Raw genomic sequence first — 21567 nt, 5'->3', positions numbered from 1 at the left:
CCCTCTCCTAGCCCCCGACTCCCTGACAGGCCCAGGTATGTGATGTTCCCCTCCCTGTGCCCATGTCTTCTCAGTGTTCATCTCCCACTTATGAGTGAGAACATGCGGTGTTGGGTTTTCTGTTCGTGAGACACATGATTTTTTACTAAAAGTAGAAATACGTATTGTATGTGAAACACGCAGCGCCTCCCTGCTGGTTTGTTTGCCTTCTGTGAGCTCCTGCCCCTCATTCATTTCATTAGGCACCTTACCTCCACTTTATCTATTTATTGCTGTTTTTCAAACTTGATTTGGGCACCATACATGTTCATGGCTGGCTATTTAAAATGTTTTCCAGTGGCTGCAAGCAAGATACCAATTTATCTTATGGCTGCAAGCGGAGCTGAAATGATCTGGCATTGCCACAGGGCAGACAGTTATTTCATGCCCTGTTAATTCCTAATGCAGTAACTACAATATCATTCCTATTTTAAAAGAGGTGCTTTCTTTTTTTTTTATATGTGGCCTAAGTGCCCAAATAAAGAACATCACTTCTAATGAGGCCAAGTCTCAAAACATAACCTCATTACCACCACTGCCATCCTAATGCCGGGCTTCTAGCTTTAAGGCAGTTAAGAAGTCAAAGAAACTCTTCGTTGTTTACAGGCAATACAAACACATCAGCAACACTGTGTGTTCTCTTCACATCTGAAAATGACAGTCAGACGTGAGGGGCTGGTGTTTCCACCCAAAGATGGTCCAGGCTAGGGGGTTCCTTCTGCCACAGAACAGGCTCAGTGGACAGGGCTGTCTCTGTGCATGTGACAGCCATGAAACCAACAGCCTCTGTGCTGTGACCACCCACTGGTTCCAAAGGCAGAACATCCATGGCAAGTCACGCCTTAAGAGCCGAGAGGGCCGCGTTGCTAGGAGGATAAGACCTGGTCTGGATAGGCCTGGGGGAAATACTGACCCATCACGATTCTGGTTGCCTGTTGCTTCAAGTCACATTGGCTGATTCTCAACAGACTCTATTCATTAATATTTCCCAGCCCTCCTCTGTCACTTGACCCGCTCCCACCGCACCCCACTTCCTTATGCTCATGTCACTTCCTTCAGGCCAAGTCGGCCTCAGGTTCCCCTCCTGCATCCCCCACACAGGGCCTTGTAATTCTATCACAGCCCTCAAAACCCTGCATCAGGGTTGCATGATTGATTTTTTTAGTCTCCCCATGAGATAGGGGACCACACGTTCTCTTTACATCACTGCATCCCAGCACCTATTGCCATACTAGGTGGATAGAAAGCCTCCAATCCCCAGTGGATGAAGGAAGGATGTGTGCTAAATAAATAGGTGCTGACTTCATCTGAAAAGTCTACAGGCCCCACCCGAGTACCCCGAAGGAACTGATATAATGGCAAGAGCTTGAGCTTTAGAACCAAGCAGACCCAGGCTCAAGTACCAGCTCTGCCACTGACTGAGGTATGACGTAGGGCAAGAGACACCCTCTCTGAGGTTCAATCTCTCCATCTATAAAATGGGTATAATACCATGTACTTTGCATGGATGTGTTTATGAGGATTCAATGAGATGATATACCTGGTATATAGGAAATGTGTAAGCCCATGACTGTCTCAGTAGTAATTGTGTGGCTCCCATCTGTTGTGGGAACCCAGCAGCAAAGAAACTGGAGAGGACAAGAGCCCAGAGCTGCCTTGGGTTCTGGGACACCCAGCACTCTCAGCAGAGAGATGCGGACACAGGACCTAAGGCAGCCCCACAAGCTTCTGGGGCCAGAGAAAAGTATCATGAACTTGGAAGGAATTCTTCCAGTGTGGCCCAGAGAACAGCATCACCTCTGACTAACCTCCCTCAGCTCATCCGACCACAAAGCTGCAGTGACCCCGGAACCAGGGTGATGCTTCACATCCAGCTCTTCGCTCTCTGAGAGTCTCCCACTCCCAAAGCTCCTCCACACTGTCAGGCACCAAAGAAGCTGGCATAAATCTGTATGGGGTGCAGGGCCAACTCCAGACCTGCTGAGATTTCATCTCCTGAAACAGTGACATCGCAACCACCCTCTTTTTCCTTCCTGCCAACCTTTGTCATCCCTGGAAACCTTATCGAGCTAGCTTCTCCTTGGCTTGCAGACAAGACAACTAATCATGGACCTAACAGCTCGTCAGCTTCAAAAGCAGCTGCCCCCATCCTGTGCCTGGCTGAGAAAATCAATGTGCCTTTGAATTGCCGTGTGTAGAGAGGGCCCCAGCCTCTGAGAACAAAAGAAGCGAGATGGCTGAACAGTTCCATAAACAGGGCTGGAAGTTTTCCTGGCCTGAGGGAAGGCTTATAGCAAGTGATATATTAAACGGTAGATCCAAATATCTTTATCATGCCCCTGAACTGAGGAAAACAGCCCCGGTGGTAGAAAAATCACAGCTCCAAGACCCTGTGCAGGACTGTCCACCCCAACCAGCAGAAGAGTAGCTGGCTGGCGCCGTGCCTGACGTGATGAAGATGCTGAGTCTATGGGAACCACCTGATTGAATCCACCAAAGACGGACGCAGAGTCCAAACTCAGAAGCCCCCTCCTCCTGTGAGGTACAAAGCCCCATGGAAATCCCTGTTGCAATTTCCTGGTGGAAAGGACCAACCACCCACTGTGCCAGAGCACACCCCCTGGGCTTCCCCACCCTTGGTCCAGATCAGAGGTAATGCAGCAGAAATGCTGGTGAGATGTGGGGGTTGATCTTGTCTGAAAAGGCCTTCTTCAGGGCTGTTTAAAAATCCATGTCCATGCCCATGGTAGACCATTCATAGCAACAGGCTCCCATTAACATAAGAAGGCACTCATCCTCACTAATAATTAAGACAAACTCAAATTCAAATAAAAGGGGGTACCATCTCTCATCTATCACTAAGCGAGAGGATGTGGGGAAAACTGTAATCGCCAGTTCTGGTGGGCATGTAATTATGCAGCCATAAGGCAGTGTCTAATAAACTGAACATGCTCAGACCTTATAACCCAGCAATTCTGGGTCCAGGTTGCCTATGTGCCCAAAAAGACGTGTATAAGAACACTTATTGAAGTGTTATTTATAATGCTAAAAAACTGAAAGGAATCTAAAGTGGGGGCTATGGCCAGGGAAACGGCTCAAGTGTTTATATAGTAGAATGCTATAGGATTGTGAAAAGGGATGAAGAGACCTCAATATCAACATAGACACAGCTCAGACCACAATGCAGAGTGGAAAAGGTAAACTGCAAACAATATGTAAATTGCACATACGCACACACACACACACAAACATATATACACACACACAGAGTCCCACCCGACTTTAAGGGCTCAGCTTGTATCCCATCTGACCTAGGAAGTGTCTCTGACCATTCCAGCCCACTCTGCACTCCCGGGATGCTTATCATAAAAGCCCAGGCTGCTCTGCGTCTCAGCACTATTGATGACCCTCACGTACTTCAAGCCTCTTCAACTTGACCATGAGTCCGTGGGGCAGAGAATATGACTCCTGTTCTCTCTGCTGACACCATAGTGCCTTGCACAGAGTAGGCACACAGGGTCGATATCTGCTGAGTGGCTCAGTGGGACAACTCGCTGAGCTCACGGGCAAGGCCACCACATAATGCATCATAGTAGGTGGCCTCTCTCTGAGAACCCAAAGCAAGCATCGTGTCACCGGCTCTTCCCGCTGCCCACACTGCCATCCATGTTAGGAGGTCATGGAAACCCCTCCCCATCCTGCCCGTCTCCCTTTCCCGAAGTTCTGAGGGGACAGACTGTTGCCTGCAAGTATGAGCACACAAATAACTCCAAACACAAATATGGCCTAACAAATAGCCATAAATCATTCTGATTCCATCCAGTGACAACTCTAATTTATAACATGAGGAAAGAAAACGAACACTGTGGGTTGTTTTCTCCCCTCGGCTTCTCAGCTGCTGCTGAGGAAGAATTCCACCCGGCTGTTACTCACGAGCAGAAGTTCCTGATGTACGTATTACTAAAGATGAAATATACCAGGGGCCTACGGGCACAGGAGCTGCCGTGACTTCCAGTTTGAATTCCCGCAGCCCTATTACTCCCGGTGCGAGCAGCCTCGTTGTTCGGGGGCCCCACCCAGCCTTGCCTCACTCTCTACCTCTCCCTCCAGCGTAGGAGATGAGGGTCCTCCCAGGAAGAACCAAGCCCTCCCTCCTTTGGCTCCCTGCGATGATGGCTAATGCCTTTGTACGATCAGCGGTCACCGTCCTAGAGGTGCGCCCAGAGCAGTGTGTTTGGGGGAATCTGCATTTTAATGTTCTGTGCAGTCAATTAAACCACACTGTGCAAACACTGAGCACAGGAGAATGCAGGAACTGGAATTTCTTGGATAGAGGCTTTTCTTTTTGCATCTCCATAAAGCATTGTTATTAGGTATTTAAAAAAAACATAAAACAAAAGTCATCCCTCTGTGAGGTCATATAATACAGGCCATTTGGTGCTATTTTTAACAGCCATAAAAGCACATGATTTATACGGAAAAAGTCATCATGACAAAGCATGTCACAAAAAACATTGGCGTGGAAGGGTAACACATTGAATTCAAGTGGGTTTATGGTCCCAGCTATCCATCCTGTATGCTCGCAAACTCAACACACCAACAGACTCCAGAATGCCTCTCTTTGACCCGTTCGAAATAACAGGTGGATCACGAGCCAGCTTCTCAGCTCCGGGCCCAAGGCAATGCCTTCCCTGTTCCCAGGGGAAGTTCCTTCCCAGGACCAGTTAGGAACGCAGGGAAGTGGATGCTAGTTAACCAGCAGGCCAAGACTTCACCTTGACTCATGCCCTCCCCCTCTACGGCTGTGACACATGGCTCAGGCCCTCAAACGATGGCAAAGAGGAATAAGGGAATTTCTCCATGGCTGCCCAAGGTTGAGAGTCTGTGGGGTGAAAACAACAGCAAGGAAACCAGTCTTTACCCAAGGGCCAAAACCCGAAGTCGGCCCAAGATCCCAAGATGTTTCTGCAGGACCCCAACCATGCAAGAATCATGCACACCTGTGATCCCATCTAATGATCTCAAACCTCTATTAAGGCTGACACACCCAGGGTTTGTCGGTGGAGGGGGTGAAGCCAGGCTCTGTGAGGGGCCTGCCAGCTTGGCAGGGGGAGGCCAGGGTCACCTCAAGAGGGAAGTTCCTTACGCTGCCTCCCCTCTTCCCTGACACTTTGCAAACTCTCAATGCATCCAGAGGCTCTTCCGTGATAAATACAACAAATGAGTCCACAGGAAACTTGCAAATCCCCATCTATATAGCAATGACTCCCAAGAAACAGGAGTGCTTTAGTTCAATCCAGTTTCACTGAAAACTTGAATGGAGACTATAGGGTAAGAAGGTAGAAAAACGAAACAAAAGCAAAAACCAGGGTCTTGGCAAACAAAAATTCTTTGGACAGAGGTGACTCGCATCAAATTACTCCAAGCAATTCCATTCTCCACTGCAGCCTGCAAATGACATTTGTGCACCAAGGGAACCTTTTCTGCTGTTTACCTCCACTCCCTGGACCTTGAGTTTCATGTGGTCCTCTCTGGTCGTTTTCCCATCTTTCCTCTTTTTCCAGCAATACCCATCTTTCCTGTATTTCACTTTCTTCCTGTTGTAGAGTATCATTGAGCCATTCTGTGGTCTGGAAACAACAAATGGTTAAGTTACCAAGAGTACCAAGTAGAAGAAAAATTTATGAAGAAAGATATCATCGACCAGTAAAAGTCTCTACAGAAAAGCAATATTCCACATTTGCTGGAACATAATTTTTCACCTTTTATTGCATCTCCCTGGATTAACCATGTTTTATGGCCAGCCAAAATTTGCTTTGGATTTGGTACCTAATGAATTAAATGTGTCAATGATAGGCTTAAAAAACATCCCCTCAGTAATAACCACAAAGTAATCAGGATATACGATGTGGGGGCCTGAGCTCTGCACTGAAAAGTAGGCAAAACAGAGACAGAAAGCAAAAAGAGCCAGGGGTGTCGTGGCAGCCTGCAATATCTTATCTCTTGTGGAAGGATTTTCTACACATCTTTTAATCCATCACCCAGCATTAGGAAATAAATAAGTTTAACGCAGACGCTAGATGACTATGTTAAGAACAGACCGATGGCAGAGCTGTTCACCGAGGCCAAATGCTGTTGGTTCATTGCCTGCATTTAGATTACTGCTAGATATGAAAGAGCATCTGCGGTCTTGCTTCTCAAGCAAGCTAAGTACCCGATTCTTTCCCATTTAGGCTTCAGCTGTCAGGGGTCTCAGATACTGCCAGGTAAAGTCATCTATTCAGTCCACAGCCAGAGCATCTCAGGGAAATAGCGGCTTGCTCCCTAAATGCTAAGAGTTAGATGGTCATTCGTGTGATGATGAAAAAGGTAAAGAACCTTGAATTTGCCAAAAAGAAAACACGCGTCCACCACAGAGAGGAGAGGCTGATGACGTGCATATCTGCAGATGCGGTGGTCAGGTCACATATTTGGGTTTGGAAACCCCAAGGAGAGAAAGAACTAAACCCCTCTAGCAGCTGAGGGCAAGTGCTGTGATAAACCACTTTCAGAATAAAGTTTCAGTAGCTGTGGGCAGATCCAACGTCAAGGAAGACTCCCCCAAAATCTAGCAGCACCCCACGCAGTGCTGCACCACTCTGCACCTGAACGTGCAGCAGGGGAAGAGGAATGCCAGCGATTCTGCGCACCACGAGGCCAGTGCAGGCTTGCCACCTCACTCTCAGCCACGGCCAGAGAGCTCTTTACACAAATAAGGCAAATGAAGTGGGGCTTCTTCAGCCTGGCTTGTATGTTGCTCTGCTACAACGGAGGCGAGGAAACCATAAGTCAGCCATCTGTCCCCCGCAGGGCTGGGGCAAGACCCTCCAGCGCCTTTCTTTTCTTCTTGCTACGAACAATGGGCCATTTCACAAGCAGCACAGAACATTGGCTGTTGATGGCTTCATATTCTATTGTCTGGGGGGAAAAAAACAGTCCCACCAGGGTGACTGCAGCTAATTGTAGTTTCCACCCAGCCCCACTATGTCATTCAGCGGCAATATGATGACTAAACAGCAATTCCGCTGGAAATTACAGACTTTCAACAGCGACTCCCGATACTTCATTGTTTCCCGATCAGGGCACAATTGGTTTGTGTCAGTGTTGGTTTCCTCCCTAAGTCTGTATCGACTAAAACAATCAGGAAATGGCTCCACGCGCTTGTCACAATGCTGTCACCCGCTGGTATCTGTCTCCTGCTTACAAGTCTGCATTGGAAACCTTACAATTCACTTCCATTTCTAAATGGCAGGTAGGCTTGCATGTGGGGCCAACGATGTCAGCCTCTTCCCGCTTCAGCCCCTCTCTAGATGTTTGTCCTTAATCTTCACCGTGCTGTAAGCCCTCCCCGCCCCTGAAAGACCCATTAGAAGGTGCCTGAGGTCCACGGACTGTGCTTAGGACCACTTCCTAAGGAATAAGCAAGGGAACTTGTTTAATGAAACAGGTGGGCTCTGCGTGTGGCTCATTCTCTCCAAAAAAAGAATGAAGACACTCATGAGAGTGTGGCAATGCCGGGTCTTCTTCTGTGGATGGGTTTTCTGTGACTGGAGAATGAAGATACTCCATCCAAGGAGAAGACTGGACGTTGATCCAATCTAGCCTCTTGTGAGCTAAGACATGAACTGTGATTTGTTCCATCCCTTGCCCTTTCTAAATATGACTAATAACCTCAGCAGGGTACTCAGGCAAACCGTTCCCACATCGTAAGTGGTATGACCCACAGAGAGAGGACTCTCTCAAACACTGTCATGTACACAGTCAGAATCGCAACTGCACTCACCCTAGGAAACCCACCTTCCTCTGGTGACCCGCCCTTTGGCATTCTGAGAGTAGCCCTGTCATCCGGCACTTTCAGCAGGATACAATCCCACAGGGAACTTAAGTGTCCAGCTTAAATGGCCTTAATAAATGGAATCATCATTTTAACTTGCAATAATGAGCAACCTAATAGTGTTTAATCCACCAATCTGATTTTATTAGAACTTGTTCGGCTCTGTGTGATGGGGAAGGCCCTTACCACAACTCAGGGTCCTAGGAACAGCAAAGGAGAAAGACAGGCTGCAGAAGGGCCCACGTGCCCCCAAGGCAAAGAAAATGAGGCCGTACTGCCGTCCCAGAAAAGAATCAAAAGCAAGTCAGACCCAGTACTTTGGGAGGCCGAGGCAGGTGGATCACTTGAGGACAGGAGTTTGGAACCAGCCTGGCCAACATGGTGAAACCCCACCTCTACTAAAAATACAAAAAATTAGCCTGGCATGGTGGCAGGCACCTGTAATTCCAGCTACCCAGGAGGCTGAGGCAGGAGAATCTTTTGAACCTGGGAGGCAGAGGTTGCAGTGAGCTGAGATCGTGCCACGGCACTCTGGCCTGGGGCACAAAGCATGTCAAAAAAAAAAAAAAAAAAAAAAGCAGGTCAGAGCTGGTGGGAAGGGATCAGAGGAAGGAGGAGGGAAGTGGGGTCCTGCTCTGGGACGAATGACAGGTGGGCTAGACCACAGGGCCCAGTCAGGGGAGGGCTTTAACACACTTCATGATGGCATAAAAGATAGCCCCCCTCCCCACAAGAAGAGCAGGAAAACAGGAATGGAATTGCAGGCAGACAGGATAACAGAAGCTTCATGGGGCAGGCATGGAAGTCCTGCAACTTAATAATGCCACCCACTTCCAGTTATTGTTGATTTACTGTGTGCCCGGTACCAGTGGGGCACGCCACTTGCGTGTCTGTATCATCTACACCTAAATCTATATCCGTACTTATACCTATAACCCTTAACTATGATCCATATTATTGGCATCCTTGCACCCACCCTATGAGGTAGGTATTATTATCATTCCCAGCATATAATCAAACCATTCTAGCCACAAAGTGTTCAGGCAGGATACACGCTGAGTTGGTCTGACTCCAGAGTTGCCCCTGAGGCTGCTGGGCTAGCACAGGCTGTGGGGCCAGTCTCCGTTCTGCTCCACCTGCTGGGTGATCATTACCACCCTGAAAGCATCCTTTACCCGATAGACAGGGATTTCATGGGTGAATCCCAGGCTTCCTTTCCCTGTGGCTGGGGTCACTCTGGGGCAATCTCAGGCTTCCCTGCCCGGTGGAGGGGGTCGCTCTGAGTGCCCTATGTGAAACTCCCCTCTGCTTGTTAGCTCCAGTTCCCACAGTGGTGACTTGCAGGGGGAATGGCCCTTCATTTGCATTCCTCCTCCTCCTCTTTCACTTCCACATGCCCTGACTGGTGTTTCCTGGGATGGCTTCTCAGATAAACTGTTCACACTCAAGTCTTCATCTCGGGATCTCCTTCTGGGGAAGCTGAACGAAGGCTGATGGTGTGAGACAGCCACAGGGAAACCTTCCGAGACCTCCACTGCAGCCGTGCAGAGGCATGTCAAGAAAAATACGGGGACAACAGGGAGCTTTATTCTCACTAGGGAGGTATCTAGCCAAGGAAACCTTTTATCTAAGAGACTAATAGCGAGCAAAACCAATAGCGCTCAGTGCAACATGGCAAAAAGGTCAGGGGATCAATGGAAACCTACTACAAATTATAACAGTAAAGAAATGGGTATAAAGTTAGCTTATATTTTAATTATCTAGCCAAGAAAGATATCGTATATATATAATATCTATAAGCTATTGGCTTATAGATACATCTTCTATAAGATCTGTTATATGTATTATATATATAATACAGTCTCAGTAAGACTGCGTAGATTACACAGAGTAAAACTGTATAATATATATTATATATAAGACAGAAATATATGAAACATCTATATGCTATTGGCTTATAGATTATCAGCCAATAGCTTATAGACATTGTATGTATGTGTGTGTATGTATGTATGTATGTGTGTGTGTGTGATATATATATATATACACACACACATATATATATATATCTTGGCTAAATAATTAAAATATAAACTATTGACTAGATAGATTGATGAAATGATGGAAGTCCCCATTTACTACAGAAAAACAAAATTAAATGCCTAGGCATACATTTAACAAGAAATTCCCAAAACCTAAAAGAAAAACTCTAAAAATATTCTAACAGACACAAGAGTAGGTTTTGATTCATGCAAAAACATGTCTTGGTTAGGTAGAGTTATGATCATTAAAATGTCAATCTTCCGAAGTTAATTAATTAATTAATTTATTTATGTATTTATTTTTATTATTATTATTATACTTTAAGCTTTAGGGTACATGTGCACAACGTGCAGGTTTGTTACATATGTATACATGTGCCATGTTGGTGTGCTGCACCCATTAACTCGTCGTTTAGCATTAGGTATATCTCCTAATGCTATCCCTCCCCGCCTCCCCCAACCCCACAACAGTCCCCAGTGTGTGCTGTTCCCCTTCCTGTGTCCATGGGCTCTCATTGTTCAGTTCCCACCTATGAGTGAGAACATGTGGTGTTTGGTTTTTTGTCCTTGCGATAGTTTGCTGAGAATGATGGTTTCCAGCTTCATCCATGTCCCTACAAAGGACATGAACTCATCATTTTTTATGGCTGCATAGTATTCCATGGTATATATGTGCCACATTTTCTTAATCCAGTCTGTCATTGTTGGACATTTGGGTTGGTTCCAAGTCTTTGCTATTGTGAATAGTGCCGCAATAAACATACATGTGCATGTGTATTTATAGCAGCATGATTTATAATCCTTTGGGTATATGCCCAGTAATGGGATGGCTAGGTCAAATGGTATTTCTGGTTCTAGATCCCTGAGGAATCGCCACACCGACTTCCGCAATGGTTGAACTAGTTTACAGTCCCACTAACAGTGTAAAAGTGTTCCTATTTCTCCACATCCTCTCCAGCACCTGTTGTTTCCTGACTTTTTAATGATCGCCATTCTAACTGGTGTGAGATGGTATCTCATTGTGGTTTTGATTTGCATTTCTCTGATGGCCAGTGATGATGAGCATTTTTTCATGTGTTTTTTGGCTGCATAAATGTCTTCTTTTGAGAAGTGTCTGTTCATATCCCTCGCCCACTTTTTGATGGGGTGGTTTGTTTTTTTCTTGTAAATTTGTTTGAGTTCATTGTAGATTCTGGATATTAGCCCTTTGTCAGATGAGTAGATTGCAAAAATTTTCTCCCATTCTGTAGGTTGCCTTTTCACTCTGATGGTGGTTTCTTTTGCTGTGCAGAAGCTCTTTGGTTTAATGAGATCCCATTTGTCAATTTTGGCTTTTGTTGCCATTGCTTTTGGTGTTTTAGACATGAAGTCCTTGCCCATTCCTATGTCCTGAAAAATTTATAGATTCAATGCCATCCCCATCAAGCTACCAATGACTTTCTTCACAGAATTGGAAAAAAACTACTTTAAAGTTCATATGGAACCAAAAAAGAGCCCACATTGCCAGGTCAATCCTAAGCCAAAAGAACAAAGCTGGAGGCGTCACGCTACCTGACTTCAAACTATACTACAAGGCTACAGTAACCAAAACAGCATGGTACTGGTACCAAAACAGAGATATAGACCAATGGAACAGAACAGAGCCCTCAGAAATAATGCTGCGTATCTACAACTATCTGATCTTTGACAAACCTGACAGAAACAATCAATGGGGAAATGATTCCCTATTTAATAAATGGTGCTGGGAAAACTGGCTAGCCATATGTAGAAAACTGAAACTGGATCCCTTCCTTACACCTTATACAAAAATTAATTCAAGATGGATTAAAGACTTATATGTTAGACCTAAAACCATAAAAACCCTAGAAGAAAACCCAAGTTAATCTATAAATGTGAAGTCATAACAATGAGAATCCCATCAGTAATTTTTTTTCTGGATCTAGAACATTTTATTGTAAAGTTTATTTGAAAGGAAGAAGCACTAAGAATAGCCAAATAAACCTCCCAAAAGAAGACCAAGGCATAGGGGCTAGCGTTACCAGCTATTAACACGTATGAGAAAAGTTTTATATCTTAAAAAGTATGGAATTTACACATGCAGAGACAAGCCAATGGAACAGAATAGAAATTTCAGAAATAATTCCACTTACACATACAAATTCAGTATACACAATCAAGGAGGTATCTCAAGTCAGTGGGAGAAGAAGTCAAGTTTTTCTTTCTTTTTTTTATTTTTTATTTTTTGAGATGGAGTCTTGCTTTGTCGCCCAGGCTGGAGTGCAATGGTGCGATCTCGGCTCACTGCAAGCTCCGCCTTCTGGGTTCATGCCATTCTCCTGCCTCAGCCTCCCAAGTAGCTGGGACTATAGGCGCCCGCCACCATGCCCGGCTAATTTTTATTTATTTATTTATTTATTTATTTATTTATTTATTTTATTTTCAGTAGAGACGGGGTTTCACTGTGTTAGCCAGGATGGTCTCGATCTCCTGACCTTGTGATCTGCCTGCCTCACCCTCCCAAAGTGCTGGGATTACAGGCGTGAGCCACCACGCCTGGCTGAAGGGGTCAAGTTTTTCATAAGTGAAATTGGGGGACCTAGAAGGCACATGGAAAATACCAAAATGGGTTTACCCCTCACATCATACAGCAGCACTGATGCTAAACAGTCAGAGATTTCAATGTAATAAATAAAATCATACCTACCCTACAAGAAAATACAGGTGAATTTCTCTATAACCTGAAAGTGGAGAAAACTTTCTTAACCATGATTGAAAACCCAGCAACAATATGTGAAAGATACTTACATCTTATTAGATAAAAATAAAACTGCCAGACTGTTTTCCAACATGGCAGCACCATTTTCCATTCATTCCCACTAGGAATGGAGGAGGGTTCCAATTTCTCCACATCCTCCCCAGCGTTTGACATTATCTGTCTTTTGGATTATAGGCATCCTAGTGAGTGTATTGTGGTTTTAATTTGCATTTCCCTAATAACTAATGATGTTGAGTACCTTTTCATGTCCTTGTTAGCCATTCAGATAGACATTGAATCTATTTGAATCTCTTGCCTATTTTTAATTGAGTTGCCTTCTTGTTTTTTGAGTTTTAAGAGCTCTTTACATATAATCTAGATACAAGTCCTTTATCAGACATATGATTTGCAAATACTTTCTCCCAATCCATAACTTGTCCCTCTTTTCCTTAATGGCTTGATGGTTTCTTTAAAAGAGTAAAAATTTTCCCCTTTGGTAAGTTCCAATTTATCAATTTTTTCTTTTATGAATAGTACTTAGTCTCATCTAAGGGTGCTTTGCCGAACCCAAGGTAATAAACATGTCTTATGTCTTCTTCTATATCTTTTATATCTTTAGCTCTTGCATTTAGGTCATGATCCATTTTGAGTGAATTTTTGCATATGGTGTGAGATAAAGGTCAAGTTTATTTTTGTCACTGAATATCCAATTGTCCCAGCACCATTTTTTAAATTTAAACAGCCTATTTTCTCCACCCCCAACTCCACTGAATTGCTTTTGCACCTTTGTTGAAAATAAATTGACCATAAACATATGATTTTATTTCTGAACTTTCTCTTCTGTTCCATTGTCTATTTTTATGCCAATACTATCTATCTTGATTGTAGCAGCTTTATAATAAGTTTTGAAATCCGGGACTATAAGTCCTCCAACTTTGTTCTTCTTTTTCAAAACTGTTTTGGCTATTTTAAGTCCTTTGTATTTCCATATATATTTTAGGGTTAGCTTGACAATTTCTGAGGAAAAAAGGCTGCTAGAATTTTAATTGGAGTTGTACTGAATCTAGAAATCAATTTTGAGAGAATTGCCATCTTAACAATATTGAGTCTTCCAACCACTTCCAATTGCAGAACATGGAATGTCTTTCTACCCAGGTAAATCCGTAATTTCTTTCATTAAGACTTTGTAGTTTTCAATATATGGGTTTTACACTTTGTAACTTACATTTATCCTATGCACTTTATTATTTTGAAGATATTATGAATGAAATTGTTTTCTCAATTTATTTTTGGATTGTTCATTTGTACTATATAGAAATACAATTGAATTTTGTATGTTGATCTTATCCTGTGACCCTTGCTAAACCTATTTATTAGTTCTAGTAAATTTTTTTTGTAGATTCTTTAGGATAGTTTACATATATAATTAAGTCACCTGTGACTCCACTTTCTTCTTCCCATTGTGGATGCTTTTCTTTCTCTTGCTTTATTGCACTGGCTGGCACCTCCAGTCCAATGTTGAATAGAAGCGGTGAGAATCAACACTTTGCCCTGTTCCTGATTTTAGGGGGAAGCATACAGTCTTTCATCATTAAGTATGATGTTAGCTGTATGGAAGACTTAAGCTAATATGAAAAGGACTCCAGACCAGGTGTGGTGGCTCACGTGTGTAATCTCAGCACTTTGGGAGGCTGAGGAGGGCAGATTGCTTGAGCTCATGAGTTCAAGACCAGCCTGGACAACATGGCAAAACCCTGTCTCTACAACAAAGTGTGGTGGCACATGCCTGTGGTCCCAGCTACTCAGGAGGCTGAGGTGAGAGAATCACTTGAGCCCAGGAGGCGGAGGTTACAGTGAACCGAGATAGCACCACTGCACTCCAGCCTGGGTGACAGAGTGAGACCCCATCTCAATTAAAAAAAAAAAAAAAAAGACTCTGGAACCAACTTGAAGAGGCTCCCACTAACCAAAGATGGGACAATTTGAACATCAACATTCGACTGAAATACATTAAATATGTTTAAATCTATGAGTTCATAATAGTCCTCAAACAAACAAAAAACTAATTGCTCATTGTTGGAAGATGCTAGTGACCCAATACATTATTTTGAAAACTAAAAAAATAAAAAAAGAAAAGGAGAATTAGGCCACATATCCTGCCTTTCCTGTACAAACTGTTCTTTTGAGTTACCAAATAGGAGGAGAAAGAACTTTCTCTATAAAAGTACTCCAGCCAATAAATGAAGAAGAAATGAGAGAATTAAAATATCATTGTTTTGTCATCCCTAATGAATTAATGGATCTGGGCATGGATCATCAATGGTGGCTGACATCACAAAAGAGAGACAACCAGATAGTACATGTCCTCTGCTATGGTTTGGATGTGTCCCCCTAAAGGTCATGTGTTGGAAACTTAATCCCCACTACAACACTGTTGGGAGGTCAGGCCTAATAAGAGGTGATTAGGTCATGAATGGATTAACGTCATTACCTTGGGAGTGAGTTAGTTATTACAGGAGTGGCTTTTTTTTAATAAAAGTGAGTCTGGTGGCCCCCTCCTCCTCTCTCATTCTCATTCTCTCATTCTTGCCCTCTCTTGCCCTTCCACCTTCCACCACGCGATGATGTAGCACAAAGGCCCTCACAAGGCGCCATGCTCCTGAACTTCCCAGCCTCCAGAACCATGAGCCAAGTAAACTTCTATTGTTTATAAATTACCCAGTCTGTAGTATTCCATTATAGCAACACAAATGGACTAAGACATCCCCTGATGGAAGTACATTTTGCTGCAAAAAAAAAAAAAAAAAAAAAAAAATTGACCTTGAAGCTATTGAGAACTCTTGCTCTAACCTCCACTTTCTACAATCTGCAGAGGGCGCTGGGACATGGTATCGTAAATGATGCCATGGGGATACAGTCAGCAAAATCCAGACTATGGAAGACTCTACGGGGCAAATGACTTGGCTTCTTTAACCAATTCTCTGAGGAAGAATGAGTAAGTAAGAGAGAAAAAAAGAGCAGGAGTGTGCTGGAATGAGAACATATAGCCTGAAAAAGTCAAAGAAATAATCAACCAATTGCAATATGTAGACCTTACTTGGATACTGTCTGAGCCAAACAAACTGTAAAATGAAAGATGGCATTTGTGAAACAACCGAAATGTTGAACAGTGACTGGGTATGTAATGAGATTTAGAATTATTATTCATTTGTAACAGTGATCAGTGTAGTGCAGAAGTATTTTTTTAAAAGAGAACTTATCTTTTAGAGAAGTATACTGAAATATTTACTGATGAAATTATACAGTGTCTGAGAGATGCTTCCAAATAATGTTGAGGGAAGGAATGGGAGAGTATGGATGAAATAAGACTGACCATGGTATAATAACAAGAAGAATTCAAAGAAACAACAATTATTGAGTGCTTACCAAATAGCGGGCACTGATATAAAATTGTCCTTCCTCCCCACTGGACTGCAAGCTGTGCAGAGGTGGGGCTGTGGCACCCACGGCACCCCACGTGAATGCTCGGCCACGATAGCTGCTCGGTAAATATATTTTGTTTTGTTTTGAGATGGAGTCTCGCTCTGTCACCCAGACTGGAGTGCAATGGTACTATCTTGGCTCACTGCAACTTGCACCTCCCGGGTTCAAGCAATTCTCCTGCCTCAGCCTCCCTGGAAGCTGGGATTACAGGTACATGCCCCACGCCCCGCTAATTTTTGTATTTTTAGTAGAGACAGGGTTTCACCATGTTGGTCAGGCTGGTCTTGAACTCCTGACCTCAGGTGATCTGCCTGCCTTGGCCTCCCAAAGTGCTGGGATTATAGGCATGAACCACCACACCTGGCCCTGCTCAGTAAATATTAACTGAACAAATCAGTGAACATCAGCGTAGAGTTTCAAGCTGAGCCCCTGGGAGCCCTGGGAAGGAGCCATGAAGGAATTCCTCCAGTCTTGCTCTGCAGCGAGTCTTGGTCATTCCATGTTCTATTCTTCACGTACATTAACTGCTTAATGCTCAGAACTACCTATGAGGAAGCACTGCTCTTATATCCATTTTAGAGTTGAGTACACTGAGTGGTTAAGCAAATTTTCAAGGTCAGAGGACTAGTAAGCGTGAGAGTCAACATTCAAATCCAGACTATCTGACTTCAGCCCATTTGCTCTAAACCACCGAGTCTCATCCCTGTTGCCATTCTGTGCCCAAGCTTCAGATGTATCTCTCCCTTTGAATCCTATAAAACCATCCAGTATTTCCATAGCAAAATGTTTTTGCTTTAAAAAAAAAAAAAAAGAAAGAAGACTGACCATATTAAAGTTGAATGATACGTATATGTGAATTCATTATGCTAGTCTGTTTATATTTGTAGATGTTTGAAATTTTTCCATAATAGTATGTTTTTTAAAAGAAGATTATGAGATTTGGAGTGAGATCTAGGTTGTATCTTAAATTTTAGCTCAGCTCCTTAAGAGCTGTGTGATCTTGAACAAATTACTTGGTCTCTCTGTTTTAGTGAATAGGATGTGTGTAAGGTGCCCGGTGTGCTGCCTGTCATATAGCACATGTTCTCTGTAACTAACAGACTTGTCCTCTTTTTGTAGGGTTCCCCTGTGGGGAGTAACAATGAGGGGACTGAGAGAGTAATGAAATGGTGCATTGTAAGGTGTAGCCGGCAAACCCACCCATGGGAGAGGCCAGCTCCAAACACTTGCAGCTCACAGACTCACCTATCACTTTAGGGAGTGATCTTTTTCAAATTAGGTAGATAAAAGATGATTAATAACTGAAGATCAGAGGGGTGATGTGTTCTTGAGACGTTTTGCGTGTGGATATTAAGTAGAAATTTATGGAGCAACTGGGGATTGAATCGAAGACTAGGTTAATTCTGCAAAATAAAAAGTGTAGACACTCTTTCCAGCGTCTTGCTTTAGAAATCAATGCATCCAAAACAGGTCTGGTTCATGGCCCCTCTCCCTCAAACCCCCACTTTCTCTGTCACTAACTGATCATTTCCAGGACCTCAACAACCACCAATTTCATCTGTGCAGACAACTGAGACCCAGCCTGCTATTCCAGTGAGCCGTGGACTTGCGGTGGATCTTTCTCCTGTCAGCCCATTCCCCCAGCCCTGGCCCGGAGGCAGCAGATTTTGTGCAATAAGCTCTGTTCAGGTTGACCGGCTATTGCTCCTCTGAATTCATAAGATCTGTTACTTGCAGCACCCCTTTAAGAACAGATGATGTCCCAGTTCCCAGTGGGACTCCAGGAACAGTATCTGGATGGCTTCTAAAGAACTCTTTTTCCAGCTGGAACCCAAACCCTAGGTCAGCTCCACTGTTTCCTCCCAATGCCTTTGGTCCTATCGCTCCTGCCACAAGGCACAGGGAAGGGCCTGGCTGGAGGGAAAGGCAGTTCATGCAGTTCCAACTGCCTCCCAGCCCTGACCCCAAATGTCAATCAGGCTCCCGTGACAAGACAGGGCCTGCAGTGTCCTAGAAGAGTGGACACTATTCCTGAGGCCAGTGCAGAATCTCTGTTCCAGTGGGCAGTTGGAAAATGAGGAATGTCACCCTTTATTGCAGCTTACATATTTCATGCACCTGCACCTTTCTTTCTGATCTTTCCAACACGGAATGGCCTGATTTCCATGCACCATTAGAGGTACGTGGCCTGGACTAAAATGTCAGTAACAACCAGGACAACTGCGACCATGAGAAGAGCTGCCATTTATTCTGCATGGACCTTGTGCCAGGTGCCGGGGAGGGCCCTTTACACCCATGTTCCATTTTAATCTGACAGTCACTTTAGTAGCTGGGTATTGCTATCTTCATTTTACAGGGTGAGAAGGCTTAGGGCACAGAGAAGTGAAGTAACTTCCCCAACGTCGCACAGCCGGTAAGGGGAGAACCAGGGAATTGCCCCACTGCACCCCCTCCTGATGTCTTGTTTCAAATCCCTGGCACGCCCCAGCTACCCCTCCCCTTCTACAGTCACAACAACTCATAGTACTTTGGGGAGCCCAAGAACCGCCCATGGCAAAACACTTCATACAGAGCAAGGGCGGGCTGAGCCTGATTTAAATTGTAGTTCTTCCTTTTGTTGCAAGGGGAGGGAAAAAGTGCGATGAAGGAACGTCTCCTCTGCTTATCTCTCCCTCGCACAAACCCAGCGAGGGCAGTAATTGATGCCTTGCACATAGCAAGGTTGACAGGACCGCCACATGGAACCTCAAGAAGCCACGGCGACAGCCCGAATCTCACAGGAAGGAACTGGCTTACTAACTTTCAACCTGGAGACTTCCTCTGACTTGTTTACAGGGGTCTTCACGATTTGGGGGACAAGGAGCAAGAAAACTGGTTACAAGCATTCCGTGTCCTCCCCCACACCCCGCAGCCCGGCCACTCTCAGCTGTTTATGAAAAGAGGGGGAAGAGAAGGCTGACAGGCCCGGCCCAGGCTGCAATCTGCCAGATATGAAAACCAATTGCTTCTCATAATACATTCCAGCTAGAGCCATACGAATAATAAGGACAAGGAGAAGGTAGCACCAATTTGCTTTATTTGATTAGCTCCTTCTTGGGCGGTCCAATCCCAGCTTCTTTTCATTAAAATAAGGGCAAATTGAAAATCGTAAAAGAGGTTTTCTTATCAGAGAACAAACGACTAGATAGATTTGTCGGCCTAAAAGCCCCCCACAAGCCACCAGACGGCCGTGATTGCTCCTGCTTTTGCCGTGTTCAATGGGCAGGGCCCAGAAGCTGGTGCTTCCGAAGAGCTTCGTTCCCAGAGATTCAGCGTGTGCTTTCATTTTTCTTTTCTTTTTGGAGACAAAGTCTCGCTTTGTCACCCAGGGTGGAGTACCATGGCATGATCTCTGCTCACTGCAACCTCCGCCTCTTGGGCTCAAGCAATTCTCCTGCCTCACCCTCCCAAGTAGCTGAGACAACAGGCGCCCACCAAACACGCCCAGCTAATTTTTGTATTTTTAGTAGACACAGGGGTTTCGCCATGTTGGCCAGGCTGGTTTCAAACTCCTGGCCTCAAATGATCCACCCGCCTCAGCCTCTCAAAGTGCTGGATTACAGGGGTGAGCCATGCGCCCGGCCTCATTTTTCTGAATAAAAGCAAGGATAGCCAATGGCACTATCCTGTAGCTAGTGTTTCATGCAGTCAGTCTCATCGAATCCTCGCTATAACCCTAGGAAGGCTGATCCCGAACAACCAAGCAAGAGGAGAACCTGGCGGGTCGGGACACACCTAGATTCCATCTCTAAGGGCCACAATGTCTTTGTGGAGAGTTGAGAACAGGATGAAGGGTGGCTAGGGCTTCCAGAACTCAGAGTCAGAAATCAATTTGTATTTTTGGCTGGGCATGGTGGCTCACGACTGTAATCCCAGCACTTTGGGAGCCTGAGGCAGGAGGATCACCTGAGGTCAGGAGTTCGAGACCAGCCTGACCGACATGGTGAAACCCCATCTCTACTAAAAATACAAAAATTAGCCAGGTGTGGTGGCAGGTGCTTTTAATCCCAGCTACTCATGAGGCTGAGGTGCAAGAATCGCTTGAACCTGGGAAGTGGAGGTTGCAGTGAGCTATGATCACACCACCGCACTCCAGCCTGGGTGACAAAGTGAGACTCTATCTAAAAAAAAAAAAAAAAAGGTCAACTTGTATTTTCCAATTTCCCAAGATCGTTAAGCCACAGTTTGTTCACATAAATTGTCTCTGGAGGTCCCTGAAAAGAAGAGGCTGCCCATTTGGAGAGATGGTAATGACCAAGACTCGCTCCAGAGCAAGACTGGAGGAACGCCTCCTTCATGGCACCTTCCCAGGGCTCCCAGGGCCTCGGCTTGAAACTCTACGCTGACGTTCACTGATTTGTTCAGTTAATATTTACTGAGCAGCTATCACGGCTGAGCATTCACGCCGGGTGCTGAGGGTGCCACAGCCCTGCCTCTGCACAGCTTGCAGTCCGGTAGGGAGGAAGAACAATGACGCACAGAGGCCCGCCCTGGGCAGGCCCCAGAGCTGCAGGAGGGAAAGGGGACCCACCAGAGATAGCGAATGAGTGGGTTTGAGAACAGCTGTGAGTGGGTGGCAATGGGCAGCCAAGAGGCCTCTCCCAGGACGCAGCATCTGGGTGGAAGCGGAGGCGAAGGCAAGGACATGAATGCTGGCTCCCTGGAAGGGCTTTCGGTAGAGAGCGTGGCGAGGCCCAGGTTTGGAGAGGAAGCTTGGCAGAGGCTGGCAGACAAAGAACAGGGCAGGGGCAGGAGACGGGGCGAGAGAGCGGCTCACCCCAAGTAATCTGGGCTCCTGAACCAGGGTGGATTTTACTGTAAGAGTGATGAGAGACACGAATTAACCAAGGGTACACGTGTATTAACAGCGATGAAGGAAAAGCGAGGACTCCAATCTTAATACAAATGTAGCATAAAATGTAAGACGGCATAAATTAACCTGGAGAGTGCAACTCCGGTAAGCGCAAGGAAGAAAAAGCAGAGGGCACCTGACAGCATCCTACAGAGAGGCTGGGTCCAGACCAGGGCAGAGGGGTTATGACCCCCACCTCCCCGGCCCCTTGAAAAAGTGATAGTAGGCCGAGGGATTAAAGAGAGTAAAAGTCAGCCAAAAAGAACGGGGAGAGGCGCCTTCCAGACAAAGGGAACTGCACGTCCAGAGGGGTTAGATCCCGGGGCTTTGTGGATCCTCCGAGAATTCCGAACATTGCTCTCGAGGCCATGGAAGCAACTGGAGGTTTTGAAGCAGGGAAGTGGGATGATCACTTAGACTTGGCATGTCTGGCTGCTGCTTCTGCCTCTCTACCTTCATAACTTGTAAACAGCAAACACTCCAT

At 45.1% G+C, this 21567-nt stretch overlaps 1 protein-coding gene across 25 annotated transcripts in view, besides 1 other annotated feature; it reads right to left on the bottom strand.

The window, feature by feature from the left end:
- Positions 1-21567, bottom strand: part of CAMTA1 (calmodulin binding transcription activator 1) — a 984253-nt gene that overhangs the window by 514547 nt on the left and 448139 nt on the right. For all 25 annotated transcript variants that reach the window (XM_011541084.3, XM_011541083.3, NM_015215.4 and 22 more), the window contains one exon: positions 5534-5669. In XM_011541084.3, the coding sequence (XP_011539386.1) occupies positions 5534-5669 (136 nt within the window). The remainder of the gene's footprint in view (positions 1-5533; positions 5670-21567) is intronic.
- Positions 9190-9691: an enhancer, noted in NCBI's record as "H3K4me1 hESC enhancer chr1:7305529-7306030 (GRCh37/hg19 assembly coordinates)". NCBI's record gives its function as "activates a minimal SCP1, AML or CMV promoter by ChIP-STARR-seq in naive H9 embryonic stem cells {active_cell/tissue: H9 hESC(naive)}" and the evidence as "EXISTENCE:reporter gene assay evidence [ECO:0000049][PMID:30033119]".

This window comes from Homo sapiens, chromosome 1, assembly GCF_000001405.40.
Source record: "Homo sapiens chromosome 1, GRCh38.p14 Primary Assembly".
Lineage (NCBI taxonomy): Eukaryota > Metazoa > Chordata > Mammalia > Primates > Hominidae > Homo > Homo sapiens.
The sequence above is the reverse complement of the archived record's forward strand: the minus strand, read 5'-3'. Positions and strand labels throughout refer to the sequence as shown.